Source organism: Homo sapiens, chromosome 15 (assembly GCF_000001405.40).
Source record: "Homo sapiens chromosome 15, GRCh38.p14 Primary Assembly".
Lineage (NCBI taxonomy): Eukaryota > Metazoa > Chordata > Mammalia > Primates > Hominidae > Homo > Homo sapiens.
The window spans coordinates 53,444,969-53,464,206 of record NC_000015.10 but is presented as its reverse complement, the minus strand read 5'-3'; the positions used below and the strand labels follow the sequence as shown (position 1 = coordinate 53,464,206).

The 19,238-nt window shown below is 38.7% G+C and overlaps 1 long non-coding RNA gene across 3 annotated transcripts in view, besides 1 other annotated feature; it reads right to left on the bottom strand.

Moving 5' to 3' along the window:
* Positions 1–18,412, bottom strand: part of LOC105370826 (uncharacterized) — a 107,205-nt gene extending 88,793 nt beyond the window's left edge. For 2 of the 3 annotated variants that reach the window (XR_007064645.1, XR_007064643.1), the window contains exon 1: positions 18,369–18,412. This is a non-coding gene — a long non-coding RNA (uncharacterized LOC105370826). Of the gene's footprint in view, positions 1–5,105; positions 5,298–18,368 lie in introns of those variants that run through there. The other variant, XR_007064644.1, reaches the window with a different exon arrangement.
* Positions 15,541–16,050: an enhancer, noted in NCBI's record as "NANOG hESC enhancer chr15:53740354-53740863 (GRCh37/hg19 assembly coordinates)". NCBI's record gives its function as "activates a minimal SCP1, AML or CMV promoter by ChIP-STARR-seq in primed H9 embryonic stem cells {active_cell/tissue: H9 hESC(primed)}" and the evidence as "EXISTENCE:reporter gene assay evidence [ECO:0000049][PMID:30033119]".
* Positions 18,413–19,238: the final 826 nt, after the last annotated feature.

Sequence of the window (19,238 nt, the reverse complement as noted above, 5' to 3'; positions counted from 1 at the left end):
AAGAAGCTGACAAGTGAATTTCTCTCTTTTATACATGTTCCTTTTTTTAATGTCTTAGACTGAGACATAGCATTCTCAGACTAGAATTAACCCTAGTCACCATCTGTGTGAGCACCTCCACTTTTACAGTGAGTTAACTGAGGCACTAAAAGGTGACACTGCTGGTTAGAATCAAATCACACAAACTTGTTCTTTCCACTAAAGAACATATGGTTGATGGAAAAATTTGTTTCTGTTTACAGGCTCAACTTGATGCTTGTTTTTACCTAATAACACTTGGATTAAAATGTATGAATTGGGAGACTTGCCATCCCCAGCACTGTATTTATGGTTCATAGTTCAAAGAATGGCCTTATTGGATCCCGTTGGATGATCATAAAGAGAGATCTTGTCTTATTTTTGACTCTAAGAAGGAGTATTTATTGAGCCTCAGGAAGGTGAATTGGAAGGGCATCCCTTTTTTGGGGAAACAGAATATAAATTTTATTATAGCAAAGGATGTTGCAGAACAGAGGCAGGAATTTCTGGTTGGCCTGATTTCAAATGATTTAAATACGTTTGTTGTATTTGTTCTTGTTCCATTTTACACCTTATTTTTATGCAGTAAACATATATATCTTCTGTTACTAAAAAGAAAAATCCAAATGGATATTTCAAAAGGTGTATATAATGCTTCAGTATTAGTGTCCAATAGAGGAAAATAATTCTCTATTATGACTGAATAAGAAGTCATCCTGATATGCTAAAGAAAGTGCTGCCAAAAGAGCCAAAAACCTGAGTCTGAGACCTGGCTCTGTTACCTTTTAGTAAATTCACAGGCAATACTGAGCATCTGTAGTGTAATGGGTACTTCGCTGAGCCCTGGGAAGATGATGAACATATGTAGGCATAGTCCTCCATACATTTACTGGAGCCTGAACCCATTCATCATTCATTTCTCTGAGCACCAGTTTCCTCATTTGTAACATGGAAATAGCCACACTTTAGTATGTCATTATGAAGATTAAATTATGTCATGTATGTGATTCTCCAAGTGCAGAGAACTCAATTAAGTGTAGGATCTGAGAGTGTCGGAACACAAAGATGAGCCATTAGAGTTTCAGCAGACAAATATTAGCTCACTAATCATAGATATCTCAATGTCTGTTATCAAACCCATGTTCCTGTGTTACTTATTATGAGTTTAAGAGAAAACACATTAACTTGTTCAAATATAAGCTGTTGAATGTAGCTCTGGCTTTGATTTACCTTTCCCACCAAGCTGCTGTACACAAGATCTGAGTGAGAGAACGCCCCTCATGCTCACTTCCTCTTGTCACCTGAGGGGCAAGTTTCTAGGCATTCAAACTCTGTGCAGCTCTATCTAAAAGACCAAGTCAATGGGGTGGAAAAACGAAAGTGTACTTAAATTAATGAACCATTCACTCATGCATTCTCATAATTTTAACCACAGACTCCTTTTTCATGACACTTTCCAGAAGTTTGTCACAGCAATTTCAAATACATTTTCCTCAGCACCTCAGCACTCACTGTGTCTACACAGAGCCATGCTCACAGCAGACCATGAAGAAATGAATGAGAGAATGAAGGCATGTTAAGAAAGTGAGCCTATGAATGGTAGCTATGAAGAAAGGAGGTTCAGATTTCCCTATGTTGACAACACATTTTAATTTCCCCGAATGGCTGAGTCTACCCCAGGAAATTCTCTACCATTTTTCCCCCTGAAGATTCTTTTGAAAAAGTCTTTAAAAAGAAAACTTTAAAAAATCATCTTTCTTAAACTGACTTAGATATATTCTCCACCAAAATCTTCCTTCTCTACATCTCTTCTACCAACTATATTCCCCAGGTAGGTGTTGTTTCCTAGCACCCAAGAAGTTCTGCCAATTCCTCTGCAGGATGAAAGGGCCCTTCTCCAAGGTCATAAAGGCCTCAGTCAGGCATGAAGGCTGAGGCAGCAACAGCAGTGGGGTAGTGTGGTGCAGGACAGAGTAGATGGACCTGGGGTTTTAATTCAGGGGTCATAAACATATGTAGTAGTACTATAAAACCTTCTTTAAATTCTTGCAACTTCATGTTCTACAGTCTGTAAAATAGATTATTGTCTGCCTCCTAAGGCTTTGGATAGGATTACATTTAAAAATACGTGAAGGTAGCAAGCATGGATAATCACTAATTTTTAAAATCTTAATATCACTTGGTGCTATGGACTAAACTGCGTCTCTCCAAAATTCATATATTGAAATTAACCCCTAATGTGACTGTATTTGCAGATAGAGCTATTGGAAGGTAACTAAGGTTAAATGAGGTCATAGGGTGGGGTCCTAATCCAATAGGATTAGTGGCCTTATAAGAAGTGCCTGAAAAAGGCCATATGAGTACACAGCAAGAAGGCAGCTGTCTGCAAACCAGGAAGACAGCCCTCACCAAGACCGAACCATGCTGGCATCCTGACTTTGGACTGTGAGAAATTAATCTTTGCTGTTTAAGCCATCTAGTCTATGGTACTGTGTCATGGCAGCCTGAGTTGACTAAGACGACTGCTCTCTGCAGTCTTACAATTGCCCCTCACTAACTCCCCTTGACCAAAACACACTCCTTGAAATTCCCATCCTTCAGCTCTTTCAACTAGTGGAAGGCAGTGGTTAAAACAACTCTAGACATTTACCAAATGTGTGATCTTGGGCAATATGTTTCTCCTCCCTATGCCTCAAATTTCCTATTCTGTCAAAGCAGTCTAAAAATAGCGCTTATCTCATGGGGTTGTTTTAAATATTAAATTAGTTCATGAACATTAAGCACCAATGGCAGATAATAGTGGGTTGTCATACCTAGACCACAAATTTTATAAGAGAAATGTTGATCTCTTTTGGATATATCCCAAGCACCTAGAACTATGTCCAGCACATAGTCACACTCTCTGTTTCTGCAATGGTTGAATAATTAGTCCTCCCACCATTTCTGACTGGCTTTCCAACCCCTCTATAATTTGACTATGCCCAATCTTTCCAGTCTTCTTTTTCCTCTACAACCAGCTCAGGAATGTAGGTACCAGTCATACAACTGGTTGGATTTTTATTGTTGTTGTTGCAAGTCTTGCCTTTTTTTTTTTTTTTTTTTTGGCTCCAGCCATTTCTTGTACTTCTGGAAGTTTCCTTAGCTCCCCTTCATAAATGCCATCTCTTAACAAAGGTGACTGTGCACCACATACATGCGTGCACACACACACACACACACACACACACACACACACACACAGTGAGAGAGAGAGAAAGAGAGAGAGAGAGTACTAAGACACACAATCCCAAAGGTTCTTTGAGAGATAGGAAGTAAAATTTTCATGGTTCTCCCATCTCAGACTCTTAGAGTCCTCCCCATACTGAAAGTGGAACATCTTATAAGGGTGGTTTGGATTTATTGAGTACCTCCTCAAAATTTCTCCAGGGAGTACTACCTGACTGAGAGGGAATAGCGATTATCTAGACAGAATTATCACACATTAGAATTCACTCTCCTTCAGTTTGGAGGGAACTTTTCCAATACCATTTGAAATGACCAGAGAAGACACCTGCTGGAGTGATATAAGGTGAGGACTGATTCTCGATGTGGTGGAAGCAATGCTTACAGATGAAGAGAATGCTCTTGAAAACTTCCTGCTTTTCTCCTCACACCCTTGTGTAAATGAACTCTTGACTGCCTATCCCCACTCTGGAAAATAAGTAGGGCTTTTCCACCCACAAAGTCATTAGATAGTATGTCAAGATTTGGTAAGGAAGGGGTAAGAGGGCAGAAAATGTGTCTGAGAGCCTCTGATCCCTGAAGTAACTTGGTCTCCCACAGAATTTGGATGGAAAGCCCTTTATGAGTTTTATATATTTCCATGTTCTTCTCTCTCCAGTCAGAAGATGCTTCCTACCCTCCATCCCTGAGGCAGTCCCTTCCCTATAAAAATACATTTGTTTGATCAAATCCTGATTGTACTTTCACAAATGAGTTGGAGGGTAAGTGCGGCTGTTTGTTTTTCTGGCTGTGTTTGCTTTTCCGGAGAGACTAGAGGCTTTTCCCTTGACAGTGTTCCCCAAGGGGAAGGGGAACAATGGCACCATCTCTCAGTTCCTAGAGTCTCTATAGTTCCTCACAATCATAAATGTATACATCCTGAGAGCACAAGTCCTAGCTGCTGCTGATGCACATGGCTTTTTACCATGGTGAGTGGATTGGAGTGCACTCTCATAGCATCAGAGACCTGAAGCTGTGGCTACACAGTCAACCAATTCCCTCTTATCTCTGCCTGTTTTGCCCTTCTATTTCTGCACTAATTATTGCCTTGGCTAGGGATTTGATGAGTATCCTAATTAAAGTATCTGAAATTTTTTCTACCAAAATATTCTTATCAATACTCTCTTAACTTCCAGAGAAGGTGAACGTTGTGCATAATTAGAAACACTGCAGTAATGCCAACCTACATTGATCTCATATATTCTAGTGTACAAGGCACTTTCGCACCTATTACTTCAGATTATATTCATGATAACTAACCCCATGAGGAGAGCTGGGAGATTATAATTAGTCCTTTTACAAATAAAGATTCTCAGACAGGTTGGCTAAGTGATTTTGGCTTACAAGTGACAAAATCAAATTCTCTATTAAATAAATGGAGGGAAAGGGCTATTAGGAAGGGAGAGGGAAAAGGTAAATAAGTGCCACTAAGAAAAAGTATGTGATGTGTCAGACAAAAACCAGGATCTGGTTAACCTCATATGTATCAAGCTTATTTAATTAATGTATGGAATAACCTCTATCTCTGGTCTCTTTCAGCCTCTTGATAGCTTGCCTACTCTTCTGTTCTTGCCATAACCAACATGCTGCAGCCAGAGAAATCCCACCTGATCACATCATATATCATATCATATTGTATCATATCATATCATATCACATCACGTCATTCTCTTGTGTAAAACTCTTCAGTGGTCTTCCATTGCTCTTAGGACAAAGCCCACAGTTTCTCATGTCTAAATGATGGCTTCTGTGACCCAGTCCCTAATGGTCTGTTTCTGCCTCATCTTACCTCCCAGTCATCCTAGCTCTCTCCAATCCAGCCATACCTTCAGTTTGTTAGGTGCACCATGCCTGCCTGCAGAGCCATTGTCCATTGTATTCTTGCTGCTCGAATGTTCTTCCTCCATCTGGTTTTAAGTACTATTCTCCCTTTACATCCAAGTTCAAGCAACTCTTCCTCAGGTAAGTGTTCTTGACCTCTGATCTTCCTGACTAAGCCAAACAATGCTTTTATTTGCCTAGTCCCATGCCTTTCTTGTTGGAGGGCTTAGTAATTTTATATTTATTTGTGTGATTAGTTGATAAATGAGTCTTTCCTTATGTCCCAGGAGAGATAGAGATGCCTTGTTTGGCTCACTATTGTGTTCCCAGTACCTATTGCCACACCTGGTATACAGTTGGCTCTCAATAATTAATATTGTCTGAACAAATCAGCAAATGGAAAAATGAAGGTGATTCTTCAAACTAGTCCTCATTTATATTTAAATTTCAGTGCAAAGCTATGTCCCTCACGTCAAGTGTCCCACAGATGAAATGGACAGTGAGTAGATATGGCCTATTTCTGTGTTTCTAAGAATAAAATTTCAACACACTGACTGTTAAAGATCACATTGGCTTTTGTTAGCAATTTATGAACCAGGCATCACTCATTGTACGCAATAGACAGGAGTTCCATCGAATGTGGCAGAACAGTTGGCTTTTGTGAGGCAGCTTGACCAGGAGCAAGGAAGCAGCACAGTACAGAAAGTGGACTAGTTGACCTCAGGTTGCATCAGGTTACTTTCCTTGTATGGGTGAAAGCAGAGGGGGCTTCTTTGTCATGCCAGCTCAAGACGACTGGGCTCCTTTTGATTGGGTGCTATGAATCTACTGTGTTGTTTTTGTTTTTTGTTTTTGGAAAATTGGCCTGTTTGGGAATTTGGCTATCATCTCCTGATTTCTGGGAAGGTCAGATCTTATAAGTGAACAATTTAGTTTTCAGTTTGGTGTTGTAGAACTTTGACACATGTGACTCCATTTTGGGTTGTTCTGTTGGGGCCTACGACAGGAGCTTAGTCCAATGAACGGCCTTCCTTAAATTTTCCTTAACATATGTTTTGTTGCAAAATGTGAGCAAGATTTTAGTCTTAAAGAACTACTGAGGAGTTCTTATGTAAATGCTTCTTCTTTTCCTTTTGATTGGGAAAGATCTTCCCTGCCTTTTTTTCCTCTGCACTCCTTACACCACATTATCTTTTTAAAAGGCATTTCAATGCTAGTGGTGAGTAACTCCCTAGGACGAAGCTTTTGATGGTCAGAAGCCCTAGTTAAGTGCCTGGTGTGCGAGCTAGAGTCTTTCATCCTAACCCATCCATGGGCACTGTCCCTTACAGGGGACAGGATGCAGAGTTCTGTCTATATAAATAGCCACCTTCCTCTTTCACCTCCTCAGCATTTTGCTAAGAGCCCCACCTTGAGCTTATTTACATTGAGAACAGCTTTTGAAGCAAATATACACCTGCTCCTGCACATCCCCAGGGCGAGCTGTGGGGTTTCTTGATGAAAGGGTTTGTTCATACAGAGCTCAGTGCCTCTGAGTCAGAAAGAAAAATGAATAAAAAGAAGTTTTCTGAAAACCAGCTCTGTGAAAAGGAAAGTACTGAGAGAAGAGAGTTTTAAGGCAAAAGAGGCAAAACAAATAAGAAGTCATCATCAAGAAACCATGTTGAACAGTTTAATTTCCTGAAGCAGAAATGAATGTCTATTTTCCTCTGTAGCAGACTGCTTCAGAGAGAGAAATACAGTTCGGTAGATTAAACTGGCATTTGCACCATGGTCTTTAAGTCACTAATTCTTGCTGGGGGAACAGGGGGCAGGTGGAAGAGAAGACTTGAAATTGGCCAATTTGGGGTCATTGTTGGTTAACACCGATATATTTGTGTCAAGAGTCAGGAAAGGATTTAGCCCTCTACTTGATCTGTGGATGTGCCTGAGGGGCAGTGAAGTTTTGAAGGAAACAAACCAACGGAGGAATTGCGTTTCACTCCATCAGTTTGGACCTAAGAATCTAAGAAGATGCTCGTAGCACTGCCTTCTCTCTTAGCAGATTTTTTTCTCTGAATCATCACAACATGTAAAGCTCTGACACCTAGGATATCCTGAGGGGGAAAGCAAGAGAGAAGGATGTAATTGTGCCAATTCATCTGGCCAGGAGACTGAGGGCACAATGTCCTTTGGGCAGAATAAATTGTTATTTTGGGACCTTGTGTTGATCATTTTGGCAGTAGTATCCTGGAGGGACAAATCCAGAGTTGCAGAAAGAGGTTTGGGTGCCTGGGGCAGGGAGTCAATTAGTTATAGGGCTCTCCTTTTTCGCACCCATATTTATACAGGGCGAATATCCATTAACACTCCAATTTAATAAAGTAACTGACTTATATTGTATAGCCTTATTTTAAAAGCTTATGATAGTCTATATTAACTTGTCATAATAAAAATAAACAAATACATTTTACAACTTGCAATATTTAACACACATCAGAATGCTGAAATTAAAAAAACAAAAGCATACACCTGTATGTCTTATGATATTTAAGGTCTGGGTCTGTTTACCCCACAATTTCTCTTCTCATAGTTAATAAAAAACATGTATATATTATGTTTTAAGAGGAAATATTTTTTGTTCTGTTTCTGTAAGAGCATCTGGGCCTTATTACCAATTACCCTTGCAGCCTTGAATTGGCAGCAGCCATCCACATCAATGTAAAATTAAATACAGCTCTCAGATTAAAGGGCTAAGAAATTAGCAATAACCTTTATTAAATGTATATGAAAATTGAAAGTAAACATTTTTGTCAAGCATATATATATATATATATACACACACACACACATTTTCAACTGTTGAAACAAATAAAAAATGCCCTACCAACAGAATCTACTTTAAAACATTTTTTTTTATTGGAAAGTGCCATTCCATTGTTCTAAGCCTCTCAGACCACACTAGACACTTTCCAATTTTGACTAAGACCTGGCCCTCACATGTGGCCCAGAAGGGAGGGACAGAGAAGATAGCAGCATGCAGAGGCCAGGTTAGGACTCAGCAGCCATCTCTTGGACCATTTAATTAATTCACCAGATAAAGGGAAAATGTGGAAATTGCAGGGTTAGGACCATTAAATTCATCAGATAAAGGGAAAATGTGGAGATTGTTAGGGCTGAGTAACTCCCTTTTTCAGCTAATACTCTTCTTTTTTCTTCTTTAAGATTGTCACCTATCACTTTATGTTTCCCCCTCCCCCTCTTCCTCCTCATCTTTCTTTTTCTTGACCATCTCTAATTAATAGAATACAGGATCTACTATGATGAAGGTAGCTATGGGGGCTCTTGACTGGATAAGCCCTATACAGAGGCAAAGTGCCCAGGGGACTGTGGAGGAAGAAAGATAAATGAATTTCTGCCCCTTTAGAACCTGGAGAAGTGCCACCACTGACAACAAAAGGAGAAAGGAGTTGACAGCAAGACAAAGGGACTATTGCTTTTGTGTGTGCCTTAGTACACACTTTTCATATGTAATCAACTGAAGTAAATAATATTTGTCTCACATTTTCCATTATATAATAGGTTTTTTTTTTCAACGTTCATTTAGAAAATGTGTGTCCTTCCTTGAGTGGCATAACCTGCCTAATGCAATCTCTTTCATCTGTGTTGATATTGACCTTTCACATGAGATACATTCCTCCTTGTGTGACCCATTCCACGTGTCACCAGAGCATCTCAATAGTTAAATTTTTACATGATGGAGAATGCATCACTGAAAAGCAAACATTTTTGAGATGTTTCTGCATCTGTTTTAAAACGCAGCTTGGCTATTATCAGATTCATACGTTTACACAGTGCTCTGTCCCACGCAACTTGTAAATATTTGATAAATGTTACTTTTTAATTCCTGATAACATTATGAAAGTGTTAAGAAATGTTATGGCCGATAACCTCTTTCCGAGCCTAAGACTCACATTTACCATGTAAAGTTATTGATTGACTAGAGCAAAATGATTTTGTTTTCAGGGAAACAAAGTCCCTCAGAGGCCACATTCAAACTTTCCCTTCATTTAATTGTACGTTGTCCAAGGACAGAGATAAGATATTTTTTTCCTGCTGTTTCTCAAGCAGGTCAACCTGGGTCTACCAAGACCAAATATTTATGGACATATGTGAGTATGCAGTTCCCTAATGACAAATGTGTGATAATATGTCAGAATGAAAGATTTTTGAGACAGTAATGTTGACTGTCTGAGTTGGGCATTTACTTAAGCTGTGTTGCTGGGAAGCAAGTACCTGGCCTTCAATCAAATAAAGCATTTTCTAATGAATGAGTTCACATTCTGAAGTGTAACCTCCAAGATCAGGACATCCAGGTACAAAGGCATCGTCCCGTGCAGAAAGAGTCAGCGATTTTTACGCAAGCTTGAGAATCCTTCACTTCGAGCATATGCTACACAGTGGAGCAACCTTCACTAGTTTAGTTTAATGAACAAAGCATCAAAAAATACTCTGAAATTTGATAGGAAAATAGTTTTAAATTTGCATACTATATGATGCTATTTATACAAAATATAAATTTATTTTATGCTAATACAATACAAGATGTTGGTTACCCTAACAGGCAGTGACTACAAGAGGTGTGATGGAGGGATTTGGAAGGTACACATAATGTTTTGTTTCTTAATCCATGTACTGGTTACATGAGTGTGTCTGGTTTGTGAAAGTTTCTTAAACTCTAGTTATTTTATTTATTTATATATACATATATATTTGATAAAAGTGTTCACTTTCAATTTTCATATACATTTAATAAAAGTTATGCACACACACACATATCAAAAGTCTACATATGTCCTTGTTTAGTCTTACTTCTACTTTTTAAAAAGATGCATTCTCTTTCTTTCAAGTTCAAAGGCATCTTTTGAGGAAATACATTTGTATTTTCCTTGAACTTGGTACGTACACACCTACATATATTTCTTCAAGAAATCTCTAGCATGTCCAACTTAGTTTTTGAGTAATTATTCTTACAAGTGAAAACTTGTTCTCATGGCAGCACCAGGCTCTGAGCTCCCTGAGGCAGGGGTCATGTCATGTTTGTGCCCTAGGAAGCTGGCCTATGGTAGGTAATCAATAATTATTGAATAAGATGCAAAAGATCAGGTAGTACAAGAGTCCTGATAGTCCCCAACTCTGACCCCTGAGTCCCTTCAGTTTCTTTCTACTTGACAGTTTGTAACACTGGGCACAAAAGGGAGACAGAGAGAACAAACCACTTCTGCTGTGACCAGGTTACGTGATCTGCAGGGATCCAGCCTCCAATCAGGAGCTATTGCACAAGGGCTAGCAAGTAGCCAAGGACAAAAACCAGGTAACTTCATCAGTTAAGTAAACAGTGGCTAGCACAATGGCTGTGCTAAACAGGACAAGCTCAAAGTGCAGTGTCATGGCCAAATGTCTCCTTCCAACGGAATGGACATAGGTGCCTCTTAGAGACCTGCCTTGCAGGAATGATTACAATATTTATCAAGTAAATGACAGCTTATGTACTTTGTCATGTGCTTTTTTTTTTTTAATCTTACAATAACTGTGGTAGAGGTGATGTTATTCTCTTTTCATAGATAAGGAGACTGAACAAAGCAGTTAAGCAATTTATTCTTGGTTACAAAGTTAAGTGACAGAATTGCAGCTCAAATCTTGGTCTGTATGGCTGACTCCAAATCCCATGAACTGATGGCATCACATATCTTAAAAGAAAAAAAATCTGTGAAATGTCAGGATTATTCTGATTAAATTCAGGACTCAGTAAAAAAAAAAAGGTGGGGGATACTGGCATCTTCTACATTATTATTTTCTGGATGATGATAATGCAACTGAACTGAAGATCTGTAAGGTTAAGTAACTTGCCTAGGGCTGCTCAGCTAATAAGTGGAAGCACCAGGGTTGGGAACTAAACCTATAACCTATGCACTTCTCACTCTACTGAGGATGCTGAATAGCTTTCTTCTCTAGAGTCAGCCCTGGGCAGTGGGCAGTGGCTGCCTGGAGTTCTGTGCTGAAATGGATCAGAAGCCACTGCAGAGCCCCATGGGAAAGAAGCCTGGGATAAATTAGCCATGCTGCTTATTTGCCATCCCTGTGCTATACTGCTCCTAAAACCCACTGCCCTTTGACCCCTGGGGATCAACCAGGACTTAATTATCACAAGCCTTGTTATGCTTCCCAATATGCAAGGCACACACACGAATACCACATTCTACTAAGCCTTCTTCATATTTGCACTCTTTAAAGATACCATATCTACTCTATTACCAAGCAGCAGGTTTGGACGTTGGTAATATTTCTGTTTAGGCTCTAATTCCAAGTAAGGAGACATCTAAATGGCTAAAGCAAACATGGACTAAAATTATTCTTAGTATAATTTCACCTCACTTAAAACCACTTATTAAATGGCTATTTTGTGAAAGTGGGAATATACTAGGACAATAAAAAGGGAACTAGATTGAAATCAGGATTATCAGGCCCAGGTTCCAACTTGACCCTTCACCAGTTCTGCACCTCTGGACTAATCACTCAAAGGCATGTGTTTTGGAGTCAGACCTGAGTTTGATTTCTGGCCCTGACATTTACAAGTGCTGCAATTACCTTATGCAATTTTCTGTATTTCCTAAAGCTTCAGTTTTCTCATATTTAATGTGTGAATAATAATGACTTCCTCACTGGGTTGTTATGAAATTCATGGAGATGTTGCATGCTAACTGCTTAGCATAGTTCATACAACACTGAGGTCCCTAGTAAATGCAGCTGTCATTATTCCTTGTCATTAAATTTCCTTATCTATAAAAGTTGGTTACAATGCAAACCTCCCAAACCTTCATAAAGTTCACTGACAAGTTCAGGCTTTACAACAACATAAAATTTCTTTTATTGTATATCTCACCTCAAGGTGTATCCCATCTGTTAAGGAAACAGAATCTCCCCCCCAAAAAAAGAAAAAGTAAGAGATAATAACACATAATAAACATTTACAAAACAAATGAGGAGTAATACATGGATATGGGGAAAACTTGGAATAAATCAAATAATTAGAACTGAAAAGTTTAGTTAAAATTTGGATTTCAGAGGAAGAAAAAGGCATGCCTTGCCACAGAGCCCATAAAATAGAGTTATAGACTCATGGATTGGAAATTCTGCTCAGGTTCAGAAGAGCTGATATTCAGTTCTAACTCTGATGCTCCCTAACTTTTTAATTTTTCTCAAGATTTTTAGATTTTCTCATTCCGTAAAAATGGGAAAAATAATAACTTTTTTTTTTATGAGGGCTAAGAGGATACAATCAGATCATACATACAAATAAGTTTTTGTTGCATTTAGTTTATGGTACAAGGAATGGCCAAAGCCAGTATAGGGCAAGTGAGCCACATAGGGTACAGCATTTAAGGAGACACGTAACAAAGGGTTCTAGAGTATGCCTCTTTTGACTTGCACCCTTGTCTTCTCACTTGCCTTAACCTCGTCCTGGACCTGGGATGAAAAGACAGCAAACGGGTCTCTCCAATGGAGTAACAATGTGAATATAAATAATGAGACATGAGAGCACGTGACAAATCCAACTAATAATGGGTTGTAAAGCACAAGGCAATGAGTCTGGGGCCAATGGGACAGTGGAGCTACTGCAGGTTTCGGAGGAGGGATGTGGCATGTGTTTTCATAGTTTGATCACAGAATGCAGCAGTTCAATTGGATTCTGGAACATAGGCCAGTTGGATCTATAGAAGAGGTCAGTATTGTTCTATTTTATTATGGATTTGGGAAGAAAATAAAATTACATATATAATTGTATGACAACTACTAAAACTCTAAATTATGAATTAATGAAATTAATAAAGAATTGATAATGCGTGCCCTCTTACTGTGATTTATAGATGGTTGTGGTGGAGATTGCCAGGTGTCTCACGCCAGCCAAAGAAACATTTGCTATCTGCCATTTCTACAAATTGGCTACTAAAAAAGGAAGCAGCATTTGGATAAGCTGGTACTTTCAGCACAGTAACTCTTGAAACACAGAACTTCTTGGGTGTACATTTGGAGGAAAGTTGATCTGGAGCCTATGGAGTGTCATTGGAGCTGGGTGTTCACAAAGCTAATGGAAAACATATTAATTCTGTTCTACTGAGGGTTGGAAAAGAGCTTCTAGGGTCATGGTGGGTCAGAAACCTAGGAATTCATTTTGGACTGTAATGGAAAAGTTTTATCCATTACATCTAAACTTATCATTTAATAATGGCTGCCAGGAACACTGTCAAATGAAGGATTCTGAGCCTTCAGCCAGGCTTCACAGGTAAGGGCCACCATTGATTAGCAATGTCTGTTGCAAGACATTGGCAGAAATGAGAGGTGGGTTGTGTGTCTGATCTGGTTCAATTATTTGATTTTACTATTGTTAAAGTCAAGGCTCTAGGAGGGGAAAACTTACTCAAAGCAACACAGTTCAATAAATAAGTGAAGAATCAAACTCAAGTTCTCCAACCCAATGCAATTTGTTCACAATCCACTTCTTAATAAACCACAGAACATTTTTATTTATGGCATTTATTAAGGAATGTCTTCCCCTTCTTTCAAAAGCCACATTCTAAGTCAAAATTTTGCTTCTAATTATTTCTTTTATTCCAGAATTTTTTCCATTCCTCTGTATCGCTCATTTTTTTTTTTTTTTTTTACAAATGTCTATTATGTGTTATCTCTTACTCGTTACTTATTTTTAAATTTTATATCTGAGTTTATCTTTGCTTCACATTTTGGTCCACAGTGGAAGATTCCAATGACAGAGTAATGCTTTTATTCAAGATACTTTATTCTAGCTGAAACCACATCTTTTCTATGCTAGTCTATCAGAAATGCAGCATAATGGGAGTCTTTGCTGAATATGAAGCAGATTCCTAGAAAACAAGTGGGCATTGATTTATTTTTATTGATGTGCTTTTACTAACTGATAGGAAGTGTTCTTTGAACACCTCTCTTCCTACCATTCCACTCCAATAAGCCACTGAGTTTGATCATTTCTAACACATGGTCCATGATGCTGTCTAGAGGGCTGAGAGCCTCTCCAGCCACAGTGCTAAGTGAGCCAACAGCCACCCAGGTCTCCTCAATTCAGATGTGACATTTTCCTGATGTGCGACTTACATCCTGACCTGATATAACCTTTCAGTTTGGGACTATGAGCTGGGATATGGATACCTTGGACAACTCTTGGTCTTCAAAAAAAGAGAAAACTAACTAGGAGTAAACCTGCAGATGAACTATGCATATATCCAGTGTACAAGAGAAAGTAGGTTTTTGGGAGGAAAGAAAAGTTATAAAATAAAGGCAGAAAAATCAACTATTTTTTCTCTTTGAGTCCAGATGTTTTTGATGTCATTGAGCATCAGGCATTGTCTAGAGTCTCCAAATTTTATGTCATGTTCTCTGTGGAAATTGCAGCAAACAGGCACACGATGTTTTGAAGGTGAGTGGGAAAAGGCGCTGGGACATTGCTGCTGGGAGCAGAGTACCTCCTTTGGGCTAGAAAGAGCCCACCGGGCCTTTTTATTCCCAATTTACCACCTAAATATTGGAGAACTGTGATGTTAAGTTCTAATAAAAATCTAGGGAGAAATTGTACAGCTTCTTTTTGAATGATGTTCTCATGCACCAAAAAGGGCTTCTTAGGGCTTATTTCTGCCTACTTTTTGTTTGTTTGTTTCTAAATCAATACAATATCCAATTCTCTACCAATCGGAATAAAAGAGAAAACATATTTCGCCCATAATACTGCTGTCCTATCACAACCATAACATTCTGGTGTATTTCTTTTTAGTGTATTTTCCTGAGGATGCATTTTTCCATAGCTATAACTTTATTATTATTATTTTACTTAAATCTGCAAAGGTTTTTTCTGTATCTTTAGTTTTATTTCTCTTTTCTAAAACTATTGTCTTTAATAGCTTCATAATATGTATATGCCACAGTTTATCTTTTTAAATTCATTATTGCTAGATAGTAGGTTATTTCCAATTCTTAATAATACTTCTATGAACATCTTTGTGCATGCCCATTTATCATATCTGTGAGAGTCCTTAGCTTAGTTTTCTTTGGTCCCTAGCTTGGATTTCTTATTTCTACTACTCACTCTCATTTATATTCCGAAACAAGCAGTATTCTTTTTCAAATGGTTGAATTATTGAAAATATTTGATATTTTGCCAAAATTCTGTCTGCTGTTTCCTCAGTAATGACCTTGGCCTAAATGAAAGGCAGTTTCGGTTTCGCACATTTACATGTGGGGGCCAAATTTCCTATAAAGACAAAGACAGTGCTTAGATCTTCCTTCAAGGGCTCCGATGACATTATAGGTACAACACTCCTTTGTGCTGGTGGCCCCAGCAGGGACATCACTGAAAGGCCTGCCTGAAATAAAAATGGCACTTTTATGGCTATGGATGTGTTTGTCCAAAAAACATTTAATCACTCTGAAGGTTTTTTTCCCTTGTCTGTAGTAAGCAGCATTTTGTAACTGTAGAGTTCTGCTAATGCACACTTCTGCCGGGAAGCTTCCCAGGGTGGGGCACAAAAGATGCTAAGTGGCAGGGGGGAGACGGGGAGAAAGCCATTAACACTCCAGCAGCGAGGTCAGATCTGATGTTTCCTTTTGTTTGCAGGATCCAAATTAAGAAGCTGCTTCTGTACTTTCCCTGTTGCCTCCCACCTAAACACACTCTTGGGTCATCTCAGTCTGGTCACATCTTTTGACAATTAGCCACCCATTAACAGGGTGATTGAAAAGGAGCCAGAGTGGTTTACACATAAAGTGCTTACTCTTTTCCAGGAAGAACACATATCTCTACAGTTTCATTAATGCTTTGGCCGATTAGTCCACACAAGAAAATAAAATACTTACACTCTAGAAAGCACTAGCAAAGGGAAGAAAGTGAGGTGGAAGGAAGAAAATTAAAGAACAAAAATAACCCTTAGAGATTTTTCTTTCCTTTTCTTCTTTTTGCAAACATGCTTTAAAGGGGGGGTGGGGGGATGGGGGGTGTTATCTTGCTTCTATCTTTTTCTACCTTTAAAGCCAGTATTACCAGCCATTTTACTTGTACTTTACTATTATTATCTGGGTGATGGCTGTGACATGTTGATCATATATGGCAGTGAGAAAATTGATTTCCCTCAACAGAAATGCTTCCAATTTTCCCAGGGCCATAATTTTATGTCCACAACAAAATAAAAGGGTCATTTTCCTTAAGATGAGGGGAATTGAAATCTTTGATAAAAACTATGGTAAATGCTGTACTTTTGATTGTGGAAACGGCAGTTTTCACAAACATCTGGCCTGTCTGATTTGGGGGTGTGGGTTGGGGGCAGAGGAGAGAGGTTTGAAGGCAAAGAATAGTTGTTATTTTTCTTTAAAGAGCTGAATTTGCTTTAAGAAAGCTATGTAAGTCCACAGCTTCACTCTAAGTGTTCATATTCCCATTAAACGGAAGCTACAGGGTGATGCTTTGAGCTTACCTGCCTACAAGCAAGAGTGCTAAAAAAAAGCCACAGTCACATGGATTGAGCCTTCTCAAAGAATGAACACCTGTGCAGGCCTTCAGTTCACAGGGAGCCTGCCACAAAATGCATTGATAACCTCACAGATGTTGCTTTGCAAGCCAAAGACATTTCATACCAAAGAAGGAGGTTAGGAGGATTGAGGCCAGGGACACATTGACTTTGTATAAGTACAAGAAGAATAAAAACAGAGGCTGTTTTCTGAGGCCTAATTGCTGCTCTGTTTAGTTAGCAGGCTTTACCCAATCTGATGGAAACTGATTTCCAAGTAGCTGATGGAGCAACATTTACCAACAAATATTTAGAATTAGAGACCTTTGCTTCACCCTGAATCCACATGCAAGGTTAAACCAAGTTTTCTAGCCAAATAGCCGAGTGTTTTATTAACATTTGATTCACCAATGGAAATATTTTTACATCATGACTGCAGTTGCAACTACAGATGCATGAGAGAAGATAAAACGATCTCTTGCTTTTTAAATAGTAATTTTCCCTGAGCTAAAAGTAATCTGCGATCTTATACATTTTTCAGGTAGTCTAAAATAAACAAATGCAACTTTTGTAATCAGAAAAAGTAATTTTGTTGGGATTATTTATGAATATGAATAATGAATATTCATTTGTTAGAAAGGAAAAGTTACAATCCATTAGGAATATGGAAGTACATTCTCCTGGGAAAAATTTAACTCAAAGAGTACTGAAATTACAAGAAAAAACACAGCAATCTAAGGAAAATAGTCTGGATGCTGCTTGCTTTTTTTTTCTTCTTGAATATTCTCCTTCTAACTCTACCAAAGTAAAATCTGAAATTACTAGTATTTACACACTGCAGCAGCTGTTTTTTGTGTTTTCATGCTTCCACTGATCTTCATGAGTTCGTGTTGATAAAGTACTCAAAAATGAAATGTAAGCAAAGAGGTTATATGTCTTATTTTCACAAGTACAGGTTAAAGCAGGAGTCAGTAAACTGTGGGCAATGGGCCAAATCCAGCTGCCACCTGTTTCAGTATGACCCTGCCAGTGAAAAATGTTTTTAACATTTTTAAACCACAGAAAAAAAATCAAAAGAATAACATTGTTTTGTGACAGGTAAAAATTATATGAAAATCAAATTGCAGTGCAGTCCATAGCAAAAATTGATTGGAATACAGTTGCACACGTTAATTTACGTATTGCCTATGGCTGCTTTGATACAATAATGGCAGAGTTGAGTAGCTGCAACAGACCATATGGGCCACAAAGCCTAAAGTATTTACTGTTTGGTCATTAACTTACGTTTTCCTTTACCTACAGAAGTAGCTTGTTAGATGATTATGCCACATCACTTTGTGTGGATGAGTTATCACATAAACACACCGATACATTTCACTTTCATATAGGCATGAACTTTACCTTCTGACATGAATAAAGTTTATTGGTAGGTGTAACGTCATCAAAAAATATCTTGCTTTTCCTACTCACAATTTGGATGAAGTTGAAATGTAGCTCTTGTACCTGTGGTACAAATAGTGTTTCAGTGTCACTGAAGAATCAGTCTTGAAAAGTGAGGCATTTTCAAGGAGACCATTCAAATAATAGAAATTTTTAAAGCACTTAGAAAAATGTCTGTGCCCAGAAGAAATCTAAATGCTCACATTTTGCCAGCTAAGAGCGTTTATGAAGCAGTGCAGGTAATAGGGGAAGAAAACTCACTTTGTTTCTTGGGAGCTGCGCTCTTTGAATGTCCAGTTCGTTTCAGTGCAGTTTAGATGACAGCAATTATAAATGGCTTTGGCCTAGCAAGGGTGAGTGACAAGCCGTAAGTGAGTGATGCTCATTTGAATCCATTGCCCCGCCTCTTCAATGTGAAAAGGTCCCTGCATTTAGAATAGTAACGATGAATTAGAGTAACTTGTCTGCCTCATTAACATGTGGTCTGATCTAGGTAAATCAATTTGGAGGATGTCGGCATATTTAATCCTTCCCAAGGGTGAATTGTGGCTTTTTCCAATTTGTTGACCTTACAGCTATGCCCAAAAGAGTTTCCTTATTTCATCTCCAGCCTGTGTTGGATACTGAGTGTGCCTAGGCTGAACCTGGAACGTGACTGAGTCCCTTTGCAATTATTCTGGCAAACACAGTGGATTAGTGCATGCTGGAATATCAAGGAAGATGTGGGTGTTTGTTCAGGAAATTCCCCATGCCACACTGAAAATACCCATCCTTAGAATAGCAGTGCTGCTCTTTGCTGTTATAGAATCAGCCTCCTTGTGAATTGCACTTCTTAAGGGTCAGCATCTGAGAAATTGCAGAGCATGGTTATGTCTTCAGGACAGAACGATTTGCAACTAAACTGTAACTTGGGAGGTCAAATGGATTTTTCGGGATTGCTGCAATGTCCTGAATTTGGTTCAGTGAGTATGTGATTTGCATGGGTGACCACATCTCAAAATCATTCAGAGTATCATGCACATCTATTCAGCTTCAGCTTCCACTTGAGGATGAATACATAATGCCTTCAATAACCAGTGGAAGGTGGTGCTCTTGAACCTCCTACTCCCTTGGCTGCTCTGTGTTTTGCGT